General features: G+C 46.3%; 1 protein-coding gene and 1 pseudogene across 2 annotated transcripts in view, besides 1 other annotated feature; one reads left to right on the top strand and one right to left on the bottom strand.

Moving 5' to 3' along the window:
• Positions 1-6: 6 nt before the first annotated feature.
• Positions 7-8,928, bottom strand: part of LOC124907874 (uncharacterized) — a 10,413-nt gene continuing 1,491 nt past the window's right edge. The window contains exons 2-3 of the mRNA XM_047446749.1: positions 1,798-1,804; positions 7-1,177 (exon numbers count right to left, since the gene is read on the bottom strand). Coding sequence (XP_047302705.1) covers positions 7-1,177; positions 1,798-1,804 — 1,178 coding nt within the window. The remainder of the gene's footprint in view (positions 1,178-1,797; positions 1,805-8,928) is intronic.
• Positions 7,289-7,498: a silencer, noted in NCBI's record as "silent region_11884". NCBI's record gives its function as "represses an Ori minimal core promoter by ATAC-STARR-seq in GM12878 lymphoblastoid cells {active_cell/tissue: GM12878}" and the evidence as "EXISTENCE:reporter gene assay evidence [ECO:0000049][PMID:35858748]".
• The window catches only part of DDX11L2 (DEAD/H-box helicase 11 like 2 (pseudogene)), a 4,690-nt pseudogene continuing 3,283 nt past the window's right edge, over positions 7,522-8,928 (top strand). The window contains exon 1 of the transcript NR_024004.2: positions 7,522-7,644. The product of NR_024004.2 is annotated as a DEAD/H-box helicase 11 like 2 (pseudogene), transcript variant 1 (transcript). The remainder of the gene's footprint in view (positions 7,645-8,928) is intronic.

Genomic DNA, 8,928 nt, shown 5'->3' with positions numbered 1-8,928 from the left:
TTAATTTCAGACATCTACTTGATCGGATTGAGAGACACACATAGTGGTCAAACACGATTTCAGCCATGAATCAGGCATAAATATTCTGATGGTTAATTTTAGACATCTACTTGACTGGATTAAGAGACACACATAGCTGGTCAAACATGATTTCAGCCATGAATCAGCCATAAATATTCTGATGGTTAATTTTAGACATCTACTTGAGTGGATTAAGAGACACACATAGCTGGTCAAACACAATTTCAGCCATGAATCAGGCATAAATATTTTGACGGTTAATTTTAGACATCTACTTGATCGGATTGAGAGACACACATAGCTGGTCAAACACGATTTCAGCCATGAATCAGGCATAAATATTCTGATGGTTAATTTTAGACATCTACTTGAGTGGATTGAGAGACACACATAGCTGGTCAAACACAATTTCAGCCATGAATCAGGCATAAATATTCTGACGGTTAATTTTAGACATCTACTTGACTGGATTGAGAGACACACATAGCTGGTCAAACACGATTTCAGCCATGAATCAGGCATAAATATTCTGACGGTTAACTTTAGGCATCTACTTGATTGGATTGAGAGACACACATAGCTGGTCAAACACGATTTCAGCCATGAATCAGGCATAAATATTCTGATGGTTAACTTTAGACATCTACTTGACTGGATTGAGAGACACACATAGCTGGTCAAACACGATTTCAGCCATGAATCAGGCATAAATATTCTGACGGTTAACTTTAGGCATCTACTTGATTGGATTGAGAGACACACATAGCTGGTCAAACACGATTTCAGCCATGAATCAGGCATAAATATTCTGATGGTTAATTGTAGACATCTACTTGACTGGATTGAAAGACACACATAGCTGGTCAAACACGATTTCAGCCATGAATCAGGCATAAATATTCTGATGGTTAATTGTAGACATCTACTTGACTGGATTGAAAGACACACATAGCTGGTCAAACACGATTTCAGCCATGAATCAGGCATAAATATTCTGATGGTTAATTGTAGACGTCTACTTGACTGGATTGAGAGACACACATAGCTGGTCAAACACGATTTCAGCCATGAATCAGGCATAAATATTCTGATGGTTAATTGTAGACGTCTACTTGACTGGATTGAGAGACACACACAGCTGGTCAAACACGATTTCTGGGCATATCTATGAGGGCGTTTCTGGAAGACACTGAGATAACCATGACCCAATGTGGATGGGCACTGATATGGTTTGGCTGTGTCCCCACCCAGATCTCATCTTGAATTGTAGTTCCTGTAATACCTACATGTCGTGGGAGGGACCCAATGGGAGGTGACTGAATCGTGGTGGTGGTTACTGCCATGATGTTCTCATGACAGTGAGTGAGTTCTCATGATCTGATGGTTTTATAAGGGGCTTTTCCCCTTTGGCTCAGCACTTCTTGTTGCTGCCATGTGAAGAGGGATAGCTTTGCTTCCCCTTCTGCCATGATTGTGAGGCCCCTGCAGCCATGTGGAACTGTCAGCCCATTAAACCCCTTTGTTCTTTATAAATTGCTCAGACTCAGGTATTTCTTCATAGCTGTATAAAAATGGATGAATACAGGCAGCATCCAATTGGTTGAGAGCCCAGATAGAATAACAAGGAAGAGGAAAGGTGAATTATCTCCTTCTGAAATGGAAACATCCTTCTTCTCCTGCCCTTGACATCAGAACTTCAGGGTCTCAGACCTTTGGCCTCACAATCAGAGTTACACCATTGGCTTCCCTGATTCTGAGTCCTTTGTATCTGGAGTGAGCCATGCTACCAGCTTTCCTGGTTCTCCAACTTGGAGACAGGCTATTGTGGAACTTCTCAGCCTCCATAATTATGTGAACCAGTTCCCCTAATGAATCTTCTCTCATCTGTCTACATATATCCTATTGATTCTGCCTTTCTGGAGACCCCTGACTAATGTGATTACAATAACTACAAAATTCACTAGTTTATATAGAAGACTTGGTTTTTGTCTTTGCCCCATTTTATATTTGTATTATAACTATGTATCTGGAAAATGGAACAAGTTTTTTCTTCTTCATATGAGGGCTAAGGCTTTTTTCTCACCAATATTTTTGGAGATTTTAAAGATTTTCTTTTTTTTGACATAGAATCTTATGGAGGCTGAGAAATAATTTTTTTTCTATTTTATTCTTCAGCCCCAGGTGTTTGCTTTTGCAGATTCTTGAGCACATTGAGAGCCTCCAAGGCATGGAGTGGGGTGCCTGAAGTTTCAGTGATTATAGGGAGTTGAGAGACTCAACTGGGAAAGGAAAGGTCTAAAAGGAGGCAATTTGGAAGATAAAAATTTTCTCAAAGGAGCCATTAAAGTTGTAAATAATTCTTAGTAAAGTCATGCAAACAGGAAAAGAAGTAGAATTAGTTCCATATTGGTGGAACACATAGTCAGCAGAGGTTTGAGAAGGGAGAATTCAGTGAACTGAGAAGTTCCCATGAAAGCAGCAAGATCAAGATCACAGAGACCCCTTGAAACAAAAAGCCAGGAATAACTTCCAACCCAAGAGGAGAACAGAGAGGCCTCAAAACCAAAGCTAGGATAAGAAACTTGTAGCCCAAGAGTTATCTTCCAGACAAAGAAGCCTGAGATTCCAACGCAGCTTCAGAGAGTGCTCACTCAAAATGTTACTGAAACTGTAGGCTTTTTAATGACTTAGCCATGCCTGCAAAAGGCATTCCCTAAGGTGGCACAGAAGACGGAGCCCCCATATCCAAAGATAGCCAAGGAGAAAGAAAGACCCCTGTTGCCATAGCCAGTGGGCAAAGGCAACAGAAAAGGAGACAAGGGTCCTAATGGGATGAGATCCTTTCAGATTTAGGCTTATACAAACTCCTGAGAACTGGCAGGTTGACAGCCATAAATGGGGTACCAAACTTTCTACTCATTGGATTACAAGTTCTCAGGCATCCAGAATGATTAACAAAATGACAATTTCTAGGGCTTCTGTGGGAGAGTATGGAAAGGTCTTTTTGAACCTTTTAATGCTGTCAACGGAAAAATGATGAGGTTCATAAATTTGGAAAGGAGACATTTCTTCATTTCTATGCTTATTTTTATTTTTTTTTGAGACAGAGTTTCACTCTTGTTGCCCAGGCTGGAGTGCAATGGCATGATCTTGGTTCACTGCAACCTCCGCCTCCTGGGTTCAAGCGATTCTCCTGCCTCAGCCTCCTGATTAGCTGGGATTACAGATGCCCACCACCACACCTGGCTAATTTTTTGCAGTTTTGGTAGCGACAGGGTTTCATCATGTTGGCCAGGCTGGTCTGAAACTCCTGACCTCAGGTGATCCACCCACCTCGGCCTCCCAAAGTGCTGGGATTACAGGCATGAGCCACCCACCCAGTGAGAGATTTATTATCTATAAAGGGTTGTAGCCTGCAGGGTTGTCCTTCTGACAGGCTGGGAAGCATAGCCTCCAGCCAGAAGCCAGAAACAGACGCTTCAAGGAGGAGGTAAAGGAAATAGCAATTTATGCTGAGTGGAATGGCCAAATAGATTTATTTAATAAGCTCTAGGAGGAGTCATGAATATTTATGGAAGGAGAAATGCATGCACGCACAATTGAGTTTCTTGCTTCTTCATGGGTCCCATGTACAAAAAATGGCAGTGTTAGCATGATCCCAGGGTGGAGTTTTCAGCCCTCTGACATTAAAAGGTGAAGCAGAGGACATGAAAACTCGCTCTGTGCATCCTCTGTACGCTGGCCAGAACCTCTCCATCGTGGGTGGTCTCTTATCAGGCAAGAAAGGAGAGGTTGATATCAGTGGTGGAGGCTTTGAAAGGGCTGGTTTCTGTTAAATCCTTAGGGAAGAAAGCCTCATCATGGTTAGCAAAGGAGGGGGTATAACGATGTGTATCTTAACCCCATCATCCCATCCTAGCAAAGCTGAGAACTCAGTTTTGAAAGTTACTCTGGGGTCCCCTCAGCCAAGAGTGGGTCTGTTCAGTCAGTTGGGAGCTTAGAATTTCATTTTCATTTATCAATGCTAATGCGAAAGAGTACGCTGTCTTCATGGCAGCTGAATTTGCAAGAAACTCCTTGGATGGGGTTAATGGCAGCTGTATTTTTCTGGGAGCTCTGCTTTAATTGGATAAAGTAAGTTCTGGTAAGATTTCTTCATCTTCAGTATCTCAAATGTTTTCATTTAAATAATCTTTATAACAACTTTTGATGTCTGAGTGGATTCCCACACAGTCATCTATTGTAAGACTTTCTGATTCCTTTTTTTTCCTTTGGTCATTATGAATAGGGCTTCTGTAAATAACTGCATGGTAGCTTTTGATGGGAAATAACATCAAAGTAGTTGTCAAAATACTTAGGAATGTTATTTTTGGATTGTAAGGTGAGACTTGTTTAGCTTTGGAAAAAAATGCACAACTTGTAATAGGGGAGGAAAAATAATTTTCTGTTTTTGGAATTCTTAGATGGAACGCTCTGTAAAAACTGACAGATTAAAATGAGAAAAACAGAAAAGTTTAAAAACATGTATATCTTATGGTTACATGGGAGATACTCAGGGAAAAATGAGTAAATCTCCAACAGGTGGCTTTCAATTCAAGCATAAATACTATCTTCAACTTAAAGAAAGAAGATTTGAGGTGCAGTAGTGGGGAGCTAACCAGCAAAAGCACATTAGACAAGGGTAAGGTGCGTTATACAGACTTAAGTCCACGCATTCTCCATTGATAAGACTCTTCAGTGATTTAGTTATCCTTCTCTTCTTGGCGTCGAGAGAGGTAGCTTTTAAATGGTGATTTCCTTTATAGATGTAAATTTTCCTTACACAAGTAACTTCTCTATTTTCACAACTTCCTTTGTTAGCATTTTTTTTCAAAATAATTAGCTTGGAATAATTCTTAAGCCAAAGGGACATATTTTGGGGTTGCATATTCTGGTTTCCTACCATTATATTTCGGGGTGGCATAGTTTGGTCTTATACACTGTGTTCCACTGGCAATGAAAAGAGTTCTTGGTTTTCCTCCAGCAATTTGTCATTTGTTAAAGAGCTTAGCAGTTCTAAGAGATATAGACCAGCTGTGCTATCTTTTTGTGGTTTTCAGTTCTCTAGTATGTTGAGCATCTTTTTGTAAGTGTACTTGCCATCTGTAGATCTTCTTTGGTGAAGTGTCTGTTCAGATCTGTGTGCATTTTTAATTGGGTTGTTTAACTTATTGTTTAGTTTTAACAATTTTTTATATATTTTGAATACAAATTCTCAGATCTGTATTTTGCAAATATTTTCTTCAACATGTGGCTTGTCTTTTTGTTCTCTTAACAAGGTCTCTTCCAGAGTATAAACTGTAAATATTAAGAAATCCACATTGTCATTTCTTCTGTGTATATCAACCTTCTGTGTCATTTGTTAAAATTCATTACGAAACGCAAAGGCACATAGCTTTTCCTCTATAGTTTCTTCTAGAAATTGTATAGTTTTGCATTTTTAGTGTAAGGATGATTTTGAGTGATTATTTGTGTAAGTTGTAAAGTTTTCATCTACATGCATATCATTTCTTATGGTTTCCAATTAATCATTCCCTCACTATTTTTGGGAAAGACACAGGATAGTGGGCTCTGTTAGAGTAGATAGCTAGCTAGACATGAACAGGAGGGGGAGCTCCTGGAAAAGGGAAAGTCTGTGAAGGCTCACCTGGAGGGACCACCAAAAATGCACATATTAGTAGCATCTCTAGTGCTGGAGTGGATGGGCACTTGTCAATTGTGGTTAGGAGGGAGAAGAGGTACCTACGCAGAAACACCCTAGAACTTCTCTTAAGATGCCCCAATCGGATGGGCGCGGTGGCTCACGCCTGTAATCCCAGCACTGTGGGAGGCCGAGGCGGGTGGATCATGAGGTCAGGAGATCGAGACCATCCTGGCTAACAAGGTGAAACCCCGTCTCTACTAAAAATACAAAAAATTAGCTGGCGCGGTGGCGGGCGCCTGTAGTCCCAGCTACTCGGGAGGCTGAGGCAGGAGAATGGCGTGAACCCGGGAAGCGGAGCTTGCAGTGAGCCGAGATTGCGCCACTGCAGTCCGCAGTCTGGCCTGGGTGACAGAGTGAGACTCCGTCTCAAAAAAAAAAAAAAAAAAGAAGCCCCAATCATCATTCATTCTGCAATAAAAATGTCAGAATATTGCTAGCTACATGCTGATAAGAAGGACAAAGGGGACATTCTTAAGAGAAACCTGGCACCATAAGTACAGATTAAGGCAGAGAAAGACATTCAAAAGAGGCAGCTGCAGTAGATACAAACGTGACCGCTGTCAGCCTGCCTGGTATGGTGGGAAGGAGGCTGGTGCCAGAGTGGATTCGGATTGATCACCACACATGTACCTCAATCAAGTGAGGAGGTCCCACAAGGCTAAGTGGGGCAAGTCGGGGACCTAAGGCAGTAGCAGGAAAACCAAAGAAAACAGGCGGAGACTTGAGACAGAGGTAGGAATGTGAAGAAGTCCAAAATAAAAATCCCTGCACAGGACTCTTAGGCTGTTTTCATGCAGTATCAGCCTACTCCTCCCTATTTTTGTACAATAAGCTCTTTACACTGTATTTCTTTTCAATGAAGTTATCTTCCATCTTTGTACTGCCTCTTGGTGAAAAGCTGTCTTCCAAGTTAATAACTGGGACATCAGCTCTCCGCAGTAATAGCTCCTTTTCAGTTTTAATTTACAGAACTGATGGGGATTAATAACTGGCGCTCTGACTTTAAGTGGTGCAGGAGGTGGCCAATATGGGACGCCAGCCGTCACACCGGGAGCAAGAGGGCCCTGCGTAGTCCCCATGTGCCTGCATGTGGCGTGCAGCCACGACAATGCGAGCAAGAGGGCCCGGCAGTGTGCCCAGCTGCCAGCAGGCGGGTGTGCTGCCACTACAATGTGAGGAAGAGGGCCCTGCAATGTTCCTAGCTGCCAGCAGGCGGCATGCCACCACTATACTGCGAGCAAGAGAGCCCTGCCGTGCCCCGGCGCCAGCAGGGGGCGCTGGACAGCACTGTAAGCAAGAGGGCCCTGTAGTTGTCCTAGTCGCCAGTAGGGGGCGCAATGGCAGAGCACCGTGGGCAAGCTGGTCCTGTAGTGCCCGGCTGCAAGCAGCGGGCGCCCGAAACGGGCTTTTCAGATTACTCAGGTTCCACTCGTCTCTGCGCCGCCGGGTACGTGTGTCTCTGCGCCTGCACCGCGCCACCCCCGCGCTCCCCGCCCGGCGGCGCGCGAATGTACGACTGCAACACTCCCCGCCACCCTCAGCCCAGCGACGTGCGTCTCTGCGCCGGCGCCGCGCCTCACTCCCGCCCGCCCAGCGACCCCTCCCCTCCGGGGAGGCGCCGGCGTACGTCTATGCCCTGCGCCGCGTCTCCCCAAGAGCGCCGCGCCTCTCCGCGCCTGCGCCTCGGCGCGCCTGCGCCTCTCCGCGCCTGCGCCTCGGCGCGCCTGCGCCTCTCCGCGCCTCCGCCGGCGCGCCGCCTTTGCGAGGGCGGAGTTGCGTTCTCTTTAGCACACAGCCGGAGAGCATCGCGAGGGCGGAGCTGCGTTCTCCTCTGCACAGACTTCGGGGCTATTGCGAAGGCGGAGCAGAGTTCTTCTCAGGTCAGACCCGGGCGGGCGGGCTGAGGGCACTGCGACGGCGGAGCTGCGTTCTGTTCAGCACAGACCTGGGGGGCACCTTAAAGGCGGAGCAGCATTCTTCTCAGCACAGACGTTGGGTTAGGGTGAGGGTGAGGGTTAGGGTGAGGGTTAGGGCGAGGGTTAGGGTTAGGGCTAGGGCTAGGGCTAGGGGTTAGGGTAGGGGTTAGGGTTAGGGGTTAGGGTTGGGTTAGGGTTGGGTTTGGGGTTGGGGTAGGGTTAGGGTTAGGGGTTAGGGTTAGGGGTTAGGGTTAAGGGTTAGGGTAGGGTTAGGGTAAGGGTTGGGGCTGGGGTTGGGGTTAGGGGTAGGGTTAGGGTTAGGGGTTAGGGGTTGGGGTTAGGGTAGGGTAGTGTTAGGGTTAGGGTTTAGGGTTAGGGTTTAGGGTTAGGGTTTAGGGTTATGGTTAGGGTTAAGGGTTAAGGGTCAGGGTCAAGGTCAGGGTCACGGTTTTAGGGTGTTAGGGTTAGGGTAGGGTTAGGGTTAGGGTTGGGTTAGGGTTAGGGTAGGGTTAGGGTTTGGGTTAGGGTTAGGGTAAGGGTTAAGGGTTAAGGGTGGGGGTTGGGGTTAGGGGTAGGGGTAGGGGTAGGGTTGGGGTTGGGGTTGGGGTTAGGGGTTAGGGTTAGGTTTAGCTAACCCTAACCCCAACCCCAACCCCAACCCCAACCCCAACCCCAACCCTAACCCCTAACCCTAACCCCAACCCCAACCCTTAACCCTTACCCTAACCCTAAAATCCTAACCCTAAAACCCTAACCCTGACCCTGACCCTGACCCTACCCCTACCCCTACCCCTACCCCTAACCCCAACCCCAACCCCAACCCCACCCCTACCCCAACCCCAACCCCAAACCCAACCCAAACCCTAACCCTCACCCTCACCCTGCAATGCAGCCCCTCGCCTTGCTTTGGGAGAATCTCGCTGCCCAGGATTCAGAGGGGCTTTTTCTTTCCCGTTTTCCGCACTGAACCGCTCTAACTGGTCTCTAACCTTGATTATTCACGGCTGCAACCGGGAAAGATTTTATTCACCGTTGATGCGCCCCGAGTTGTCACAAAGCCAGGCAGTGGCCCCAACCTCTGTGCTTAGGGGAATGCTGCTCCACCTTTACGGTGACCCCCAGGTCTGTGCTGAGCAGAACGCAGCTCCGCCCTCGCGGTATCCTCAGCCCGCCCGCCCGCCCGGGTCTGACCTGAGGAGAACTCTGCTCCGCCTTCGCAGTACCACTGAAATCTGTGCAGAGGACAAC

The sequence above is a fragment of the Homo sapiens genome, chromosome 2 (genome assembly GCF_000001405.40).
Source record: "Homo sapiens chromosome 2, GRCh38.p14 Primary Assembly".
Taxonomy (NCBI): Eukaryota; Metazoa; Chordata; class Mammalia; order Primates; family Hominidae; genus Homo; species Homo sapiens.
The sequence above is the reverse complement of the archived record's forward strand: the minus strand, read 5'-3'. Positions and strand labels throughout refer to the sequence as shown.